General features: G+C 46.5%; 1 protein-coding gene across 2 annotated transcripts in view, besides 8 other annotated features; it reads right to left on the bottom strand.

Moving 5' to 3' along the window:
* Window positions 1–7,909, bottom strand: part of BMPR2 (bone morphogenetic protein receptor type 2) — a 191,423-nt gene extending 183,514 nt beyond the window's left edge. For both annotated transcript variants that reach the window (NM_001204.7, XM_011511687.2), the window contains exon 1: window positions 6,686–7,909. In NM_001204.7, coding sequence (NP_001195.2) covers window positions 6,686–6,761 — 76 coding nt within the window. In that variant the 5' untranslated portion in view covers window positions 6,762–7,909. The remainder of the gene's footprint in view (window positions 1–6,685) is intronic.
* Window positions 6,492–6,561: an enhancer, noted in NCBI's record as "active region_17001". NCBI's record gives its function as "activates an Ori minimal core promoter by ATAC-STARR-seq in GM12878 lymphoblastoid cells {active_cell/tissue: GM12878}" and the evidence as "EXISTENCE:reporter gene assay evidence [ECO:0000049][PMID:35858748]".
* Window positions 6,564–7,347: an enhancer, noted in NCBI's record as "H3K27ac hESC enhancer chr2:203241612-203242395 (GRCh37/hg19 assembly coordinates)". NCBI's record gives its function as "activates a minimal SCP1, AML or CMV promoter by ChIP-STARR-seq in naive H9 embryonic stem cells {active_cell/tissue: H9 hESC(naive)}" and the evidence as "EXISTENCE:reporter gene assay evidence [ECO:0000049][PMID:30033119]".
* Window positions 7,402–7,461: a silencer, noted in NCBI's record as "silent region_12244". NCBI's record gives its function as "represses an Ori minimal core promoter by ATAC-STARR-seq in GM12878 lymphoblastoid cells {active_cell/tissue: GM12878}" and the evidence as "EXISTENCE:reporter gene assay evidence [ECO:0000049][PMID:35858748]".
* Window positions 7,532–7,591: a silencer, noted in NCBI's record as "silent region_12243". NCBI's record gives its function as "represses an Ori minimal core promoter by ATAC-STARR-seq in GM12878 lymphoblastoid cells {active_cell/tissue: GM12878}" and the evidence as "EXISTENCE:reporter gene assay evidence [ECO:0000049][PMID:35858748]".
* Window positions 7,722–8,211: a silencer, noted in NCBI's record as "silent region_12242". NCBI's record gives its function as "represses an Ori minimal core promoter by ATAC-STARR-seq in GM12878 lymphoblastoid cells {active_cell/tissue: GM12878}" and the evidence as "EXISTENCE:reporter gene assay evidence [ECO:0000049][PMID:35858748]".
* Window positions 8,362–8,411: a silencer, noted in NCBI's record as "silent region_12241". NCBI's record gives its function as "represses an Ori minimal core promoter by ATAC-STARR-seq in GM12878 lymphoblastoid cells {active_cell/tissue: GM12878}" and the evidence as "EXISTENCE:reporter gene assay evidence [ECO:0000049][PMID:35858748]".
* Window positions 8,502–8,791: an enhancer, noted in NCBI's record as "active region_17000". NCBI's record gives its function as "activates an Ori minimal core promoter by ATAC-STARR-seq in GM12878 lymphoblastoid cells {active_cell/tissue: GM12878}" and the evidence as "EXISTENCE:reporter gene assay evidence [ECO:0000049][PMID:35858748]".
* Window positions 8,902–9,061: an enhancer, noted in NCBI's record as "active region_16999". NCBI's record gives its function as "activates an Ori minimal core promoter by ATAC-STARR-seq in GM12878 lymphoblastoid cells {active_cell/tissue: GM12878}" and the evidence as "EXISTENCE:reporter gene assay evidence [ECO:0000049][PMID:35858748]".

The raw sequence follows: 18,886 nt of genomic DNA, 5'->3' as shown, positions 1-18,886 counted from the left end.
ATTGTGATTCTAGGCATGCATATAATCTTTCATATCAGTGTTTTTTTGTTTTGTTTTGTTTTTTGAGATGGAGTTTCACTCTTTTGCCAAGGCTGGAGTAAAGTGGCACAATCTTGGCTCACTGCAACCTCTGCCTACTGGGTTCAAGTGATTCTCCTGCCTCAGCCTCCCAAGTAGCTGGGATTATAGGCGCCCGCCACCACGCCCGGGTAATTTTTGTATTTTTAGTAGAGATGGGGTTTCACCATGTTGGCCAGGCTGGTCTCAAACTCCTAACGTCAGTTGATCCACCAGCCTCGGCCTCCCAAAGTGCTAGGATTACAGGTATGAGCCACCAGGCCCAGCCAATATTAGTGCTTTTGAAAATAGTAATTTTTTTTTTTTTGAGATGGAGTCTCGCCCTGTCACCCAGGCTGGAGTGCAGTGGTACGATCTCGGCTCACTGCAACCTCCGCCTCCCAGGTTCAAGTGATTCTCCTACCTCAGCTTCCTGAGTAGCTAGGATTACAGGCATGCACCACCACGCGTGGCTAATTTTGTTTTTTTCTTTTTTTTTTTTTTTTGACAGAGTTTCGCTCTTGTTGCCCAGGCTGGAGTGCAAAGGCACAACCTCGGCTCACCACAACCTCCGCTTCCCAGGTTCAAGCGATGCCTCAGCCTCCCGAGTAGCTGGGATTACAGGCATGTGCCACCACACCCGGCTAATTTTGTATTTTTAGTAGAGACAGGGTTTCACCACGTTGGCCGGGTTGGTCTCGAACTCCTGACTTCAGGTGATCAGCCCACCTTGGCCTCCCAAAGTGCTGGGATTACAAGCGTGAGCCATGGCAACTGGCCTAATTTTGTATTTTAGTAGAGACGGGGTTTCACCACGTTAGTCAGGCTGGTCTCAAACTCCTGACCTCAGGTTATCAGCCCGCCTTGGCTTCCCAAAGTGCTGGGATTATAGGTGTGAGCCACAGCTCCCAGCCAAATTTTTGTATTTTTTGTACAGCAGGGCTGGTCTCGAAATCCTGACCTCAAGTGATCCGCCTGCCTTGGCCTCCCCAAGTGCCAGGATTACAGAGTAAGCCACTTCGCCCAGGCCACACTGCAAATTTTTAAAAGGAAAAGATTTTGGGTAATTGCTTAATGCACAAATTAAGAAATGTTTGTTCCTAATGTTTACCAGATTAAGCAATAAAAGATATAGATTAAGTAGTAATTACCACAAAAAGTAGAAATAAAGTTATAGAACTTGAGAGTTAGAAAGAATCTTAGATCCAGTAGTTCTCAAAGGTACCTAAAATTTACTGGCTGATGAGGGCATCAAAGGCAGATTCCCAGGCTCGTTGTCCAGAGATTTGGATTCAGTAGGTCTAGTGGGGTACCCATGAATCTGTATTTCAAAATGATCAAGTACAACCCCATATTATTACAAGTAAGAAAACTATGTTAAGTAACCTATTTGCCCGGAATCATATAGAATCTAGGTCTCATTAACTCCCAACAGTGGTCTTCCCACTATACCTCTTAAACTACATACTTTATAGTTGAAGGAACTAGGACAAAGAAAAAGTTATTGGTGTGTTATTTGAGTCAATAAACAACCCTAGAATATTCCTGGTTGAAATTCCTATTTATTATTCATTCACTAAGTATTTCTTAAATGTCTACTAAATTATAAAACTAATCAGACATGAATACTGTCCTCTGGAAGCAATTATCAGTAGGAAGGACAAGGCAAATACATAAAACTGATACCTGGTCAGGTGCGGTAGCTCACACCTGTAATCCCAACACTTTGGGAGGCCAAGGTGGGTGGATCAGCTGAGGTAAGGAGTTTGAGACCAGCCTGGCCAACATGGTGAAACCCCATCTCTACTAAAAATAAAAAAATTTCGGGTGTGGTGGCTCACACCTGTAATCCCAGCACTTTGGGAGGCCAGGGCAGGTGGATCACAAGATCAGGAGTTCGAGACCGGCCTGGCTAGCATAGTGAAACCCCATCTCTACTAAAAATACAAAAATTAACCAGGCATGATGGTGCACACCTATAATCCCAGCTACTCGGGAGGCTGAGGCAGGAGAATGGCTTGAACCTGGGAGGTGGAGGTTGTAATGAGTCGAGATCGTGCCACTCCACTCCAGGCTGTGTGACAGAGCAAGACTCCATCTCAAAAAAAAAAAAAAAAAAACAAAAACAAAAACTGATATCCAGCAGCACAGCAATCTATGAGTAGGTGCCAAAATAAGTGGTGTGGCCAATTATAAAATTAACTGATTCACACAGATTCCACTCAGTATTTTTTTAATGGTTAGAATTTACCCATTAGAGATCAATATTCAATTTCTTCTCTTTTTGTTAAAAAAAAAACTGGCCTTTAATGAAGGAAAGGTTTTGTCTTGTGTGAACAGTTATCTCTCACCTCACTACTCATCCACATCAATACCACTACTATCACATCATCCCACATGCCAGAATAGCTTTTGTAGAGACCAAAGTTTATATCATTTTAATGCAAAAAACTAATTAAGAGGTTGGCCCTCTTCAAAGGGTAAGAAAAGCCTCCCTTCTGGACCATCTTACTGGTTATATGTGGTCTACTGAGAATTTCAATTCTTCGTTCTTCTGCAATAGTACTATATATCCAAATATTACATTAGCCTCATCACAGGCAAAGTGTACTTTGATACCTCTTGTTTCTGAGCTTAGCCTAGCCATATGACTCGGTCAGCCAATGGGATGTTAGGAGAGCAGAGTCTGGAAATGTGCTGGTAGGGTTGGGCTTGGCCTCTTGCACTTCTGCCAATGCCATGACACAAGCCTCCCCCAGATAGATGTTACTTCTCCCTCTAGCCTGGACCCCAGAAAGAGACACATGGAGCAGAATAAATGCCTATTGTTGCATGCCACTAAGATTTTGTGGTTGCCAATAATTACACAGCAAAATGTCACTGAATCACCATATTTAAGAAATCCAGCCCAGGCGTGGTGGCTCATGCCTATAATCCCAGCACTTTCGGAGGCAGAGGCAGGCAGATCACGAGGTCAGGAGTTTGAGATCAGCCTGGCCAATATGGTAAAACCACGTCTCTACTAAAAATACAAAAATTAGCCGGGTGTGGTGGTGCACACCTGTAGTCCCAGCTACTTGGGAGGCTGAGGCAGAAGAATCACTTGAACCCGGGAGGCAGAGGTTGCAGTGAGCTGAGATGGCGCCACTGCACTCCAGTCTGGGTGACCGAGCCAGACTCTGTCTCAAAAAAAAAAAAAAAAAAAAAAAAAAAGAAAGAAAGAAATCCAGGGCCAGGGCCAGGGCCAGGGCCAGGGCCAGGGCCAGGCACAGTGGCCCACACCTATAATCCCAGCATTTTGGGAGGCCGAGGCGGGCAGATCACCTGAGATCAGGAGTTCAAGACCAGCCTGACCAACATGGAGAAACCCTGTCTCTACTAACAATACAAAATTAGCCAGGAGTGGTGGCACATGCCTGTAATCCCAGCTACCCGAGAGGCTGAGGCAGAATTGCTTGAACCCGGGAGGTGGAGGTTGCAGTGAGCCGAGATCACACCATTGCACTCCAGCCTGGGCAACAAGAGCAAAACTCAAAAAAAAAAAAAAAAAGAAAGAAATCCAAACAATCAGGACTGATGATATAAAGCAGTGCTTCTCAAGCACCTGCTTGAGTGAGACTTTGCGGGGGTTCTCCCAGAGAGATTCATTCAGTACATCTGGACTATAGGGCCAAAAATATGCATTTTTATCAAGAACCCCAGGTAATTCTGTTGCAGTACCCACACTTTGAGAAAAACTAAAATGAAGATTACTAAACTTCAGTTACTCAGTAATATTCACTAACATTAGATTAATCTTACTTTATATAATGTGTGTGTTCCTCAAGAGATGTATGTAAAATTGCAATCTAATCAAGTGAATTATTTAAAACGCATTACAGAAGTTGACCTTTAAATAATAGCTGTGTTGTATTCTTTTATTAAGAATTCATTCATAAACCAAGCCAGCACATCTTATTTTTCATAAGTTGTTTTTTTTTTTGGGGGGGGCATAGAAAATGTTCTAAGAATTAGGCGGGGTGTGGTGGCTCATGCCTGTAATCCCAGCACTTTGGGAGGCCGAGGCAGGTGGATCACGAGGTCAGGAGTTCGAAACCACCCTGCCAAAATGGTGAAACCCCGTCTCCACTAAAAATACAAAAAATAAAAATAAATTAGCTGGGCATGGTGGTGGGCTCCCGTAATCTCAGCTAGTCTGGAGGCTGAGGCAGGAGAACCACTTGCGCCTGGGAGGCGGAAGTTGTGGTGAGCCAGGGTCGTGCCACTGCACTCCAGCCTGGGCGACAGAGTGATACTCTGTCTGAACAAAAAAGAAAGAAAGAAAGAAAGAAAGAAAGAAAATGTTCTAAGAATTAAGGAGTCCAAGAACTCAATAAGTGAGAAAGAGGGAATCAAAAGAAATGATTTATCCATGACCCCGAAAAAGGATGTGCTATCAATCAGTCTTCTAGGATTTATTTTCCTGTTCAGCTGCACCATTTGCGCCTGTCGAGTTAACATCACTGCATCTGTGTAACCCAAATCCACACAGGCCCTCTCTAATCAGCTTGCACTTAATGAAGCTGCACTAGCCACTTCAATATTAGGCCAAGCAAAGTTTTACATGTTCAGAACTACGACATTTGCATAACCACTGCTGCACTAACACCTTGTAAGTGTCCCTGCTTCTTTACAAAGGTTGATCTGGTGAAGGCTAATTACTCCATCTCATATATCCAATAAGATGAGAAGTTGTTGCTGCTAGTGCTGCTGTTACCATTAATGTGGTATGTGAGGGCGCACACTATAATCCTGGCTCCATAATTTACTGACTGTGTGGTGAGTTATTCAAATTCTCTGTACTTTACTCTCCCTCTATGGAAAAGGGGAATGATAATAACCTACAACATAGAATTGTCATGAAGACGAAATGAAAAAATATATGTAAAGTTATTTGAATAGCTGATGGTGCATGGCAGGCACTTAATAAATACTAGCTATTATCATTACTGTTACAGGTCTGAAATCCAGCTTCACAAATTTTGTCATCTGGTGCTATGCAATACCAAAGAAAAAAAAGACTACAACCACTTTTAAGCAGTGATTCTTTTACTCTCTCCCTTTTAAGAGACACTATTCTAAGATGATTGTATTACCAAACAAAAATTAAGTTTATTTTTAAATAAATGCTTTTTCTCTTACTTTTATCAGTTCTGATCACAATATTATGAGCACGTCATCATAAATGAGAATCTATATTCTAAAAAGGTTAAGAATAACAAATAACATTGAAAAGCCTATGTTCTGAGATTTCTGCTCATGGAACGTTTAAGGCCTTTTACTCCATATTTTACAGGAACCACATGGCTTATGGCTAGAGAATTTAAATAGCTAACACAATATAAAGAAATTTAGAGAAAAATCATTTTTACTCTGAAAGCAACTACAATTATTAAAAATATTAAAATATCAGTTTTAAAGTAAACTCAGAAGTTCAAATTATTTTAACAGAACCATATAGATTTATCATCAATTTAACAGACATTAATCAACAGTAGACATTATTCAACAATAGCAAAAGCATAAAAGGAAACTTCAAATTTTCTTCGGCATTTTCCTAGATCAGACTTTCAAAATGAAAATAAGCAAGTAACCTCTGTATCTAACATAGCAATGAGAAATTTGTTTAATGTGAAACACACTTATCAAAAGAAAAAAAGTAATTCGAAAGGGTCATTTGGTCCTTTACTCGTTTTAAAAGCACAATCCATTTGCCCATCATAAACCAAGTGTACGAGTTATATGTAGAATTCACTCCTGAAAATTTCTAAAAGCAAATCACCAAAAGGCTGCTTGAAAAAATAGTTGCAAATAGAAGATAAGGTCTTTTTCCTAAGGTTTCTGAGAACTGAAATGAAAATATCCAAAGGAAAGGATGACTACCACCCTTTAGACTTTAGTGAAATGTCAAAGAACTTTCGGAGTCAAATCTCCTAGAAGTCTAATGTCAGGTCAAAGTTGTCTCGACAGCAAAGCCAATAGATAGATGCCAGATGACTAACAGTAAAGTTATCAAACCGTATAATACAATATATCAAGAATCTCACAGTTCTGGCTTCCTCAACATTTATTCTATTCATTCGGTAACATTTCTGAATAATGAAAGGAACATGGATTCCCAGAGTGATCTAAATTTCAAAATAAGGTTCAAGTGTGTGTTCTCTAGTTGATGTTCTTTTTACTATAAGCCAAAACCGCTTCTTTATAATAATAATTTTAAAAATCTACAGGTCTGTTTCCAGAGATCTCATAATAAGCACTGTTCACTGGTGATTAAAATATTATTTTTAATCGTTGCATTACCTCACAGCTAAAAATGTCAAGATACCACACCCAATATGTCTTTTTCACCCCGTAAAGGGGGGTGGGGTGGGAATATGGAAGTGGGGATAGGAAAATACACAAGAATATTAAAGGCGATTTCCCTGGAAGGCATGGGGCAGGCGCGCAGGCACCGGGTCGCAGCTCCGCTGCACCGCGATCGGGGGGACGCATGGCGAAGGGCAAGCACAGGCCTCGGCCTCTGCGGGCTCCCTCCCTCGCCACCCGCAGGGGCAGTGGCCGGGACGTGCCGGCCGGAGCTACTCACCAGCCGCAGTGCTGACCAGCAGGATGGTCCATGGTAGCCAGGGCACCCGCCAGGGCCGCTGCAGCGAGGAAGTCATCCCTGGGCCAGCCAAGAATCAGGAGGGCAAAGAAAAGAAATATGGGAAGTAGACCGGCGGAGAAACAGCCGGGAGGCTCGTCTTCTCTCCCGTGGACTGATCCTGCCCGTATCACAATACAGTTTGAAAGGACAAATGGCTGATGAGAGGACCTAGCTGCAGAGCTTTCATGCCGCTGCAGAAATTCCCTTCATTTCTCTCCCTCGCGGCTGGGGGGGTTCCTTCGCCTCGGACGGGGTGCCGCGGCCCTCCAAACGGAAGGCATGTCTGTGGGGAAAGCAGGGAGCCAAGAAGAAATCCCCCAAATTATTTCCCTCGTAGTTTCACGATATCAAAAAAATATCCAGGTCTGGGAGAAAACATATCCAGGGTGCGGAGGGCGGGGATTCGATCCGGGGTCGGGGGGCGAGGGTCAGAACTAGTTCCCGACTGCCGGGAAGGACGAAGCCGGACGGGCGGCGGCGGCGCCCGGCAGCCCTAGTCGCATCGCCCGCGGCTCCGGGAAGGCAGGATTCCTTAAGTTTCGCTTCGGTGCTTCCTTCACTCTGATTTCGAAAACAACAAATCCTCTTCCTTGACTGGATCAAAAAAGGTGCCTGCCTCCATGGACAAGCTCACAGTCCCCACGCCTTCGCAGAACAACCGTGAGAGGGTTGGGGAGGCCCTGGCGAAGGCTGAGGAGAGGTAGGAGCGGGGGAGGGGAGGGGTCGCGGTCGCGGCCCCGGTCCGGGCTCCCCGAGACGGCAGGCGGAGTGGGTGTGAGAGGCTGCCCCTTCTAGTCCTCCCGGCGGCGCTCCCTTCCCTTCCTCGCTTTTTATTCCTGCGGCTCGATCTTGCCTGAGGTAAATTCCACCAAGAAAGCCTCCTCTTCTCCCGTCAATGGCTCCTGTGAGCGAATCACAACCCCCCGAGGAAGCCGCTGCTGCTGCCGCCGCCGCCGCCGCCGCCGCCGCCGCCGCCGCCTCGTTCTCCCGCAGCTCTGGGCTCCTGACGGAACTCGGGCGTCGCGGACCGAGGGCGGGGGGCGGCGGGAGGGCGGATGAAGGTAGCCGGGGAAGGGGGTGGGCAGGGAGGCGGCGAGACACCCTGCGTCCCTCCGGGAGGCACTTCCAGTGGCTCCGAGCAGACCAGACACAAAGGGGGGAGTCGCCGCAGCTGCCAGTCTGCGGCGCTCCCGGTCACCGGAGTCGCCCCGCCTCCGCCGCCGCCTCCGCCTCCTCCTCAGTCTCCGGCTCTTCCCGGCCCTGTCTGTCTCTAGCCTGTGGTGCAGAGCGGGCGGCGGCGGCGGCGGCGCCGGCGGCGGGATGAAGCCCGCACTGCGCCTGCGCGCTCACGGCCCCGCCCGGCCCCGCCCCTCGTTCGGGGCTGGCTGAGGGCTCCGAGGCCCCACCGCAGCGCGTCTCTCCGGTGAATGGCCGAGGGCTGGGTGGGGCTGCGGTGGGCAGCGGTGGCCTTTCTCCTTCACACACATACACATGCCTTCCAAATGTGCATGGCTTGGGATTCGCGTATTTGTTTAAGAGACGACGGCCACATCCTTTTGTTCGGCGTTCAGCAGACTCCTCCGAGTTCCGGGATTTCTCCCGACTGAGGCGTCTCCGTCTCAGTACTCTCGGAGGAAAGCCTCGAGGGGCAGAACTGCCCTCTGTTGTTTCACGGGGCTGGAACCTCCCTCTCCGCAGCCCAAAGAATCCGGATGGACCCGCCTTTCCCAGAACCGGAGACCTTGGCCTCCTCAGGCTCCCCTCTGACTCAAACAAAAGCCGGAATTGGAAAGACCACCCCTTTGATGTGTTCGCTGTAATCGACGTCCTGCTTTCCTCAACCGCCCATTCCCTTAGCCTTCTTAGTTGACAGGAATATTGAGTATTTGCAAGGATGCGAAGCCAGAAAAAAAAAAAAGACTTTTAATTCTATAAATCGTCCCGCTGCGTGCGCGCGTCTGTCCGTACAGCGCGGTGCCCACCCCGAGAGAGGGCCTGGATTCACCAAGGCTGGGGGCCTTGAGGGCTTTTTAGGGCACGTGAAAGGAAAATGGAGTTAGAGTTGTGTCGGGATAGAGAGTGGGATCATTTTGCACTCAAGGAATTGAGAAGATCCCGTTGGTACCGCAGTTTCCAAGGATTTGTGTAGTGCGTTTTTTGGATCTGGTTTGTACAAGCGACCAGTATAGGAGACGGGATCCCTCCCGCCCTTACACCCCGCTGCGGGGTCAGCCGACGTGGGTGGGATTTTGCTGGCGGCGAGGGGAGAAGGTGACGTGCGTGGCGCCATGATCGGAAGTCTGGACTGAATTCTTAGCTGCGAGGTGGAAAATGCGCGTGGGAGGGCGATCTTGAGGGGTGAAGTCTGGCCTTCCCATCTCCTACCAGGCAGGAGGGTTATGCTGAAGGCTGGTTTTGCTGGTCTTTCATTGTGGCTAAGGGCAGTTCCACAGATACAGTCATAGATAGACTCCTTAAGTCATGCTCTGCTTGCTTCTTCTAGTCCGCTGTTACCTCTTTATCTGAATTTGATGTAAATAAATCTCCACATTCCTTAAACTGGTTCTGTTATACTAAACATCTTCCATAATTAGGGGTTGTAGCAATACCAACCCCGGATTCTAAGACTCTTTTTAGTTGAAATATGTTTATGCTGTTTACCCTTTAGACAGAGAAAAAAAAATTCTACCTAGTAAAATCCCTTAAAAAGACGAAGAGCATATGCTTTGATTCATTAGCTTTATTTATTTAGGTTTTATTTATTTATTTATTTATTTATTGAGGCGGAGTCTTGCTCTGTCGACCAGGCTGCGGTGCAGTGGCGCGATCTCGACTCACTGCAACCTCCACCTCCCAGGTTCAAGCAATTCTCCGGCCTGAACCTCCCGAGTAGCTGAGATTACAGGCGGCGCCATCACGCCCGGCTAATTTTTGTATTTTTAGTGGAGACAGGGTTTCACCATGTTTGCCAGGCTGGTCTCGAACTCCTGACCTCACGTGATCCGCCCGTCTCGACCTCCCAAAGTGCTGGGATTACAGACGTGAGCCACCGCCCCCGACCGATTCTTTATAGCTTTATTACTGTATTTTGTTTTGCCCAAAAGGTCTAAATTAGAAACGGTATTGTTTTACCATTTGTCTTTCAAGAACTGAGAGTTTCTAGCACTCAGAGAAATTGGATTTTAGTATGTTAGAGGTGCAGAAAGTTTAAAGTTTATTAATTCGTAGTACACTTTTATCTTCCTCAAATTGAGATCAAGTACTTCATCATTCAATTTTTATTTGCTTAAGATTTTTTCCAAGAAACATTAAGTGTCCTTTTTGTAGTTCCCCCTTATCCACCGTTTCAGTTACCTGCAGTCAACCACGGTCTGAAAATATTACATGGAAAGTTCCAGAAATAATAAGTGGTGTTTTTTTTTGTTGTTGTTGTTTTTGTTTTTTTTGAGACGTAGTTTCTCTTTTGTTGCCCAAGCTGGAGCACAATGGCACGATCTCAGCTCACAGCAACCTCCGCCTCCCAGACTCAAGCGATTCTCCTGCCTCAGCCCCCTGAGTAGCTGGGATTACAGGCATGCGCCACCACACCCGGCTAGTTTTGTATTTTTAGTAGAGATGGAGTTTCACCATGTTGGTCAGCCTGGTCTCGAACTCCTGACCTCAGGTGATCCGCCCTTCTGGCCTCCCAAAATGATAGGATTAGAGGCGTGAGCCACTGCGCCTGGCCTCATAAATTTTAAATTGAGTACTGTTACTAACTAGCTGTGAGGAAATCGCTGCCATCCCACACTGTCCTTCTGGGATGTGAATCATGGTTTGTACAGTGTATCCGCTATAACCTCCTTAATCACTTAGTAGCAGTCTCTTATCAGACTGACTGTGGCAGTATGCAATATCCAAGTGCTTGTGTTCAACTAACCCTCGTTTTACTTAATAATGGCCCCAAAGCACAAGAGTAGTGATGCTGGCAATTCAGCCATACAGAAGCTGTAAAGTGCTTCCTGTAAGTTAAAACGTCAGAGTTCTTGCCTGTAATCTCAGCACTTTGGGAGGCCGAGGCAGGCAGATCACAAGGTCAGGATGATCGAGACCATCCTGGCTAACACGGTGAAACCCTGTCTCTACTGAAAATACAAAAAAATTAGCCAGGCGTGGTGGCAGGCGCCTGTAGTCCCAGCCACTCGGGAGGCTGAGGCAGTGAATGAATGGCATGAACCCGGGAGGTGGGGCTTGCAGTGAGCCGAGATCATGCCACTGGACTCCAGCCTGGGCGACAGAGCAAGACTCTGTCTCAAAAAAAAAAAAAAAAAAAAAAAAAAAAAAAAAAAAAAAGTCAGAGTTCTTGACTTAATAAGGAGGGAAAAAAATTATAGGCTGAGGTTGCTAAGATTGCTGGTAACAATGAATCTTTGGCAGGGTGCAGTGGCTCACGTCTGTAATCCCAGCACTTTGGGGGACCAAGGCAGGAGGATCACTTGAGGTCAAGAGTTCAAGACCTGCCTGGCCAACATGGTGAAACCCCGTCTATACCAAAAATACAAAAATTAGCTGGGAGTGGTGGCACGTGCCTGTAATCCCAGCAGCTACTCCGGAGGCTGAAGCAAGAGAATCACTTGAACGCAGGAGGTGGAGGTTGCCCATTGCACTCTAGCCCGGGCGATAGAGACTCTGGCAAAAAAAAAAAAAAAAATCTATCTGTGAAACTGAATTGTGAAGAAAAAATAAATTCATGCTAGTTTTGCTGCCATACCTCAAACTGCAAAAGTGATGGCCACAATGTGTAATAAGTGCTTAGTTAAGATGGAAAAGGCATTAAATTTGTGGGTAGAAGACATAATAGAAATGTATTCCAGTTTATAGCAATTGGGTTCAGTACTGTCTGCAGTTTCAGGCATCCACTGGAGGTCTTGGAACAAGTTCCTTGTGGATAAGGGGCAGGGAGGACTACCGTACATGTTATAAATGTATGATAAATTATATAGAACATAAAGAAAAGGTCTTAGGAAATTCACAAGAAAAAACACATGCCGCTGACTTGGTAGGTAGACAACTAGATATGTACCCTCTTCCCTTTTCTGTTCCTTCTTGTGATATTTCAGTTGGGACATGGCTGTTCACTCACAGTGAGAAAGAACATCAAAGAACAGAATTAAGACTTGGCAAGAAACCTGTCCACGACAAAAGGCAGACAATGTAAGTCAAGCTCAGCTGAGAACAAAGGACTGGTGATGCAGGTGAGGTTTGGCATCTGTACTAATTAGGATGGGCTAAATTACAGTAACATTCACCAAATCTCAGCATCTTATTGCAATAAAGGTTTATTTCTCACACATGTTACATGTTTGATATAAGTCATCAGGGGACCCATCGCAACTTGAGTTCACAGGAAATAGACACTGAAACTCTGAAATTTGTATGCAGGAGGTTATTACCTAATGATGGCAAGAGCAACCTCTGTGGGGATTGAGGGATGCAAGACTGGGCAGAGGGAGAAGTTGAATTGCAACACATTTGCAACTGAGGCATCAATCAATCCTGCAGGAATTCTGGAGCTGGGCTGGCCTTTCAGCATTGTCCTAATCTGTGTCTGCTAACACTTTAAGGTACACCTAAAAGACCCCCCAAACCCAGCAAGCTTTTCATTCAAGATTCCTTCAGTGGAGTACATCTAGGGAAAAAGTCCCTCAAGTATACTGATAATTTAGGCTCCTTGAATGCTGCCTTGGAGTAGGAAATCCAGCATTAGACAGACTGCCTAGCCAAGTTGGGTAAAACCAGTAAATTTTTTTTTTTTTTTAAAGACGGAGTTTCGCTCTTGTAGCCCAGGCTGGAGTGCATTGGCACGATCTTGGCTCACTGCAACCTCCGCCTCCCGCGTTCAAGCAATTCTCCTGCCTTAGCCTCCCAAGTAGCTGGGATTACAGGCTTGTGCCACCATGCCCGGCTAATTTTTGTATTTTTAGTAGAGATGGGGTTTCACCATGTTGGCCAGGCTAGCCTCGAACTCCTGAACTCAGGCGATCCACCCGCCTCGGCCTCCCAAAGTGCTGGGATTACAAGCGTGAGCTACTGCGCCCGGCAAAACCCAGTAAAATTATACCTTCACACCAACCAGTCACTGGATGTGGGCTGCACATATTGAAAGAGATGTGACCGGCCTGGAGCGGTGGTTTACGCCTGTAATCCCAGAACTTTGGGAGGCCGAGGCAGGCGGATCACGAGGTCAGGAGATCGAGACCATCCTGGCTAACACGGTGAAACCCCGTCTCTACCAAAAATACAAAAAATTAGCCGGGCGTGGCGGCAGGCGCCGGTAGTCCCAGCTACTCGGGAGGCTGAGGCAGGAGAATGGCGTGAAACACGGGAGGCAGAGCTTGCAGTGAGCCGAGATCACGCCACTGCACTCCAGCATGGGTGACAGAGCGAGACTCCATCTCAAAAAAAAAAAAAAAAGACAGACGTGACCTTTGATAAAAGGGCTCTCTTTAGCCAACAGCTACCCCCAGAGAGGGACCCAGCTGACCACTGTCAGCCACCAGCAGTTCCAGCAGTTGGGAGAAAGAATGCTTTAGACCTAAAGGGTGGATCTGGGGAGCTCAGCAAAATGTCCACTGCATGGACTCTCTCATTTTAATCACTGAGGTCCTTAGGTTGGTAGAGGCTTCACTGAGACACATGTTTTCAAAATTGTGACAGTAGGGATCATAAAATTTAATTGCTAGTGTTGCAGTGTCTTGCTGTAGCCATTAAAAAGCTTCCACCTAGAAGCAGTGTGCTTTACTTCCACTCATATTTTAGTGGCCACCAAAGTCAGATGGCCAAACCTAACTTTAAGAGGGCAGAGGCTGGGAGCAGTGGCTCACGCGTGTAATCCCAGCACTTTGGGAGGCCGAGGCGGGCAGATCACAAGGTCAGGAGTTCGAGACAGGTGAAACCCCTTCTCTACTAAAAATGCAAAAAATTAGCTGGGTGTGGTGGCAGGTGCCTGTAATCCCAGCAACTCCGGAGGCCTAGGCAGGAGAATCGCTTGAACCTGGGAGGCAGAGGTTGCAGTGAGCCTAGATCGCGCCACTGCACTCCAGCCCAGGCGACAGTGCAAGACTCAGTCTCAAAAAAAAAAAAGAAAAAAAGAGGGCAGAAAATGTAATCCTACCATGTCATGAGAAAGAGAACCTGAATATTTGTGAACAGCCCTGATGACTAACATAGTATCCAAGGGTAAAATAATCCCCAATATTCTAATCACCAAAACCCCAACAAGTAGGATTTTTTTCCTGGTAGGGGTAAGGAAGCAGGAAATAAAGGAGAACAACACAGAAATCCAAGAGGACAGACTAACAGCATCTGCGAAACTGATCTTCACTATGTATTATAGCCCCTCATGGATGATATCTCTGCCTTCAGTTGGAGGACTGGTCCTGGTTTTAAGAAGGGACAGAGGGGCACTAAGCAGATTATTAGAACAAGAATTGAAATAAGGACCAAGGCCAATTTCTTGTTAAATAAATGAGGACATGTAGGTATTACCTGGGCTCAGAAATACCGACTACTTCTAAGAATAAACTTCATGATCATAAAGGGGTGGTATCAAAGAAAAATAGAAGAAAAACTCTTAGCTCTAGCAGACAAACAATATGGAAGTTAGCACTGGGACACCTTTCCAGATCAGAAAAACAAACAACTAAAAGCTGCTTAGAAACTTTAGAATTTTATCTTTAGGCTTAAACTGAGAAACAGGACAGGGCATTGTCTCCTTTTGGAAGATCAAGGTATAGTTGTGGGGAGAGAAGAAAATCCAGTTGACCTCCCTGACATCCTTTGGGCCTGAAAGCAACCTAATTCTGTCTTCCTAAAACAAACAAAGCTTTTAAAAAATAATAAACAAATAAAAAGAGCCTTGCTTTTGAAACCTAGATTTATTGTCTCATCTCTTTCCTTCCCTTTTCGTCTAACTTTGGAAATTTTAGTTAACCTAGCTTCTGGGGTCACCCTTTTCTTCAAGAGCAAAATAAAACCATCAGAACCTCCCATCCTGAGTGACTGACAGCAGGAAAACCCAGCTTCTCCCAAGCATTTGAAAGATCACAGAAAAGGACTTCTATTTTTCTTTTTTTTTATTTTTTGAGACAGAGTCTGGCTCTGTCACCCAGGCTGGAGTGCAGTGGTGAGATCTCGGCTCACTGCAACCTCCTCCTCCTGGGTTCAAGCAACTCTCCAGCTTCAGCCTCCTGAGTAGCTGGGACCACAGGCACATGCCACCACACCCGGCTAGTTTTGTTTTGTTTTGTTTTGTATTTTTCGTTGAGACAGGGTTTCACCATGTTAGTCAGGATGGTCTTGATCTCCTGACCTCGTGATCCACCCACCTCGGCCTCCCAAGGTGCTGGGATTACAGGCGTGAGCCACCGCGCCTGGCAGGACTTCTATTTTTCACAAATTTACTTATGTGCCTTTTGACTTCTCTACTGGTGTCTTCTAAGAGCTTTTCCTTGTTGATTTCAAACATGGAGCTCTATTTTCCTTCAAAGAGTAGATACAGTACCCTTCATTTATCTCCAAGTTATACCATATGTAGTTAAGATTTTTACTAAGGCTTGGAATTAGAAAAATAGGCTGGATGCAGTGGCTCACACCTATAATCCTAGCACTTTGGGAGGCCGAAGACGGTGGATCACTTGAGCCCAGGAGTTTAAGACCAGCCTGGCCAACAAAGCGAAAACCCCATTTCTACTAAAAATACAAAAAAATAGCCGGGCATGGTGGTGCACTGGAGGCTGAGGCACAAGAATCGCTAGAACCCAGGAGGCAGAGGTTGTAGTGAGCCGAGATCTTGCCACTGAACTCCAGCCTGGGTGACAGAGTGAGACTGTCTCAAAAAAAAGAGAGAAAGAAAGAAAGAAAGAAAGAGGGAGGGAGGGAGGGAGGGAAGGAAGGAAGGAAGGAAGGAAGGAAGGAAGGAAGGAAGGAAGGAAAGAAAGAAAGAAAGAAAGAAAGAAAGAAAGAAAGAAAGAAAGAAAGAAAGAAAGAAAGAAAGAAAGAATAAAAGTATAATGTAGTATAACACAGTGAAGGATATCTTAAAATAAGAATCAGGGCCGGGCGCGGTGGCTCACGCCTGTAATCCCAAGACTTTGGGAGGCCGAGGCGGGCTGATCACGAGGTCAGGAGATGGAGACCATCCTGGCTAAGATGGTGAAACCCCGTCTCTACTAAAAATACAAAAATTAGACCGGTGTGATGGCGGGCGCCTGTAGTCCCAGCTACTCGGGAGGCTGAGGCAGGAGAATGGCGTGAACCCAGGAGGCGGAGCTTGCAGTGAGCAGACATAGCGCCACTGCACTCCAGCCTGGGCGACAGGGTGAGATTCCGTCTCAAAAAAAGAAAAAAAAAAGAATCAGATATCACTGCTCTCTGAAGTCAGATATCATTTGCTCTCTGAAGTCCTTGAGCCACATGTATACCTGCCCAGTGGAACCACATTTGAAAGTACTATTTCTGGCCCGGTGCGGCGGCTCACGCCTGTAATCCCAGCACTTTGGCAGTCCAAGGCGGGCGGATCACCTCAGATGGGGAGTTGGACACCAGCCTGACCAACATGGAGAAACCTCGTCTCTACTGAAAAAAAAAAAAAAATTAGCTTGGCATGGTGGCGCATGCCTGTAATTCCAGCTACTTGGGAGGCTGAGGCAGGAGAATCGCTTGAACCTGGGAGGCAGAGGTTGCGGTGAGCCGAGATCGTGCCATTGCACTCCAGCCTGGGCAACAAGAGCGAACCTCTGTCTCAAAAAAAAGAAAAAAAAAGAAAAGCGCAGTGGCTCACGCCTGTAATCGCAGCACTTTGGGAAGCTGAGGCGGGCAGATCAGGAGGTCGAGAGATCGAGACCATCCTGGCCAACATGGTGAAACCTGTCTTTACTAAAAATACAACCCGGGAGGCGGAGGTTGCAATGAGCCGAGATCCGGCCACCGCACTCCAGCCCGGCGTCAGGGCGAGACTCCGTCTCAAAAAAATAAAATAAAAAATAAAAAAGTTAGCCGGGCATGGTGGCGTGTGCCTGTAATCCCAGCTACTAGGGGGGCTGAGGCAGGAGGATCTCTTGAACCCAGGAGGCAGAGGTTGTAGTGAGCCGAGATCGCACCACTGCACTCCAGCCTGGGCGACAGAGCCAGACTCCGTCTCAAAAGTACTGTTGGCCGGGCGGTGGCTCACGCCTGTAATCCCAGCACTTTGGGAGGCCAAGGCGGGCGGATCACGAGGTCAGGAGATCGAGACCGTCCTGGCTAACACGATGAAACCCCGTCTCTACCAAAAATACAAAAAAATTAGCCAGGCGTGGTGGCCGGCGCTTGTAGTCCCAGCTACTCCGGAGGCTGAGGTAGGAGAATGGCGTGAACTGGGGAGGCGGAGCTTGCAGTGAGCCGAGATCGCGCCACTGGACTCCAGCCTAGGGGACAGTCAGACTCTGTCTGAAAAAAAAAAAAAAAAAAAGTAAAATAAATAGTACTTTTTTTTTTGAGACGACTTCTCACTCTGTCAGGAGTCTCGGCAGGTTAGCTGGGCTGTCTGCTCAGAGTCTCGCGAGATCGCAATCAAAGTGTCAACCAGACTGTTAACACTTGGAGGTTTAACAGGGGAAGAATCTCCTTTTTTAAGCCTATTCACGTTGTTGGCTTAATTCTTTTTTTTTTTTTTTTTTTTTTTTTTTTTTGTGAGACTCCAGAGTCTTGCTCTGTTGTTGCCTGGGCTAAAGTGCAGTGGCGCGATCTCCGCTCACTGCAACCTCTGCCTCCCAGGTTCAAGAAATTCTCCTGCCTTAGCCTCCCAAGTAGCTGGGATTACAGGCACTCGCCACTCGCCACCACGCCCACCTAATTTTTTGTATATATATATATATATATATATATATATATATATATATATATATATATATATATATATGTGTGTGCGTGTGTGTGTGTGTATATATATGTGTGTATATATATATATATATATATATATATATATAATTTTTTTTTTTTGAGACAGAGTCTCGCTCTGTCGCCCAGGCTGGAGTGCGGTGGCGCAATCTCAGCTCACTGCAACCTCCGCCTCCTGGGTTCAAGCAATTCTCCTGCCTCAGCCTCCCGAGTAGCTGGGACTATAGGTGCATGCCACCATGCCTGGCTAACATTTAGTAGAGACGCTGTTTCACCATGTTAGCCAGGATGGTCTCAGTCTCCTGACCTCGTGATCCACCTGCCTCGGCCTCCCAGAGTGCTGGGATTCAGGCGTGAGCCACTCCGCCCAGTCAAGCCTCCCCGCCTGGCCTTTTTTTTTTTTTTTTTTTTTTTAGACAGAGTCTTGCTCTGTTGCCCAGGCTGGAGTGCAGTGGCACAATCTTGGCTCACTGCCACCTCCGCCTCCCAGGTTCAAGTAATCCTCTGCCTTAGCCTCCTGAGTAGCTGAAATTACAGGCATGTGTCACCATGCCTGGTTAATTTTTGTATTTTTAGTAGAGATGGGGTTTCACCATATTGGTCAAGCTGGTCTTGAACTCCTGACCTCATGATCTGCCCGCCTTGGCCTCCCAAAGTGCTGGGATTACAGGTGTGAGCCACCTTGCCCAGCCTATTCTATTTCTTTGAGACACGGTGTTGCTCTGTCCCCAGGCTGGAGTGCAGTGCCATGATCATAGCTCACTGCAGTCTTGACCTGATGGGCTCAGGTGATCCTCTTGTCTCTGCCTCCAAGTAGTTGGGACTACAGGTGCGCCACCACCACGCCCAGCTAAGTTCTTTTATTGTTTGTCAAGACTGAATTTCACCATGCTGCCCAGGCTGGTCTCCAATGCCTGGCTCAAGCCATCTGCCCGCCTTGGCCTCCTAAAGTGCTGGGATTACAAGCGTGAGCCACCACACCCAGCCTAGACTTATATTTTTTTTTAAATGGGAGGTAATACGGCAAACACTCACTAATACAGATTAAGTCAGGGGAAAGAGCACCTGCACCTGAGTGAATGAGTAAATGAGGCCTAACCTATATTATATAAAGAAACACTGTGTGTCAAAATAACCATGAGTTAAACAAAATAATGGGTCTATAAAAGTGAATAAAAATTGATCCACTTGAAAAATGCTTCATGAATTTTTATTCATGCTTTT

This window comes from Homo sapiens, chromosome 2 (genome assembly GCF_000001405.40).
Source record: "Homo sapiens chromosome 2, GRCh38.p14 Primary Assembly".
NCBI lineage: Eukaryota > Metazoa > Chordata > Mammalia > Primates > Hominidae > Homo > Homo sapiens.
This window is presented reverse-complemented; position numbering and strand designations above follow the sequence as displayed.